The sequence below is a fragment of the Homo sapiens genome, chromosome 1 (genome assembly GCF_000001405.40).
Source record: "Homo sapiens chromosome 1, GRCh38.p14 Primary Assembly".
Classification (NCBI taxonomy): Eukaryota; Metazoa; Chordata; class Mammalia; order Primates; family Hominidae; genus Homo; species Homo sapiens.
Window position 1 is genome coordinate 224,821,048 of NC_000001.11, and position 430 is coordinate 224,821,477.

Sequence of the window (430 nt, forward strand, 5' to 3'; positions counted from 1 at the left end):
GGTTATTTTCCATCACGGGCAATTAGGTTTTGTTGCTTTTTTCCTTAAATGAAAAGTATCCCAAAGCATTCAAAACTATTGCACAAATAAGTGAGCTTGTAAACACAGGGCTGGAGAGAGCTTTGGAAACACCTGTTAGGTGCATGGTTGTAATGTTATGCTGAGAGCCAAGGATGGAGGCACCAGCAGGTGGTTTGTGGCTAGTTATCTCCTGGTGGCCTGATCTCAAGGGACTTGGCTCAGCCTGCTTTAGGACCATATTGCTCATCTGGCTTCTCAGAATCCAGGCATGAGGTTCTATACAAGACACTCAGTAACGTTTAAAAACTACGCAGATGGAAGCAGTTTATTACTTTCCTTCCGTAGCTCCTGATTACAAAAGAAAGCCAAGCAAGGAATTCTTTAGTTACTGGGGGAAATTCAGCCCCTG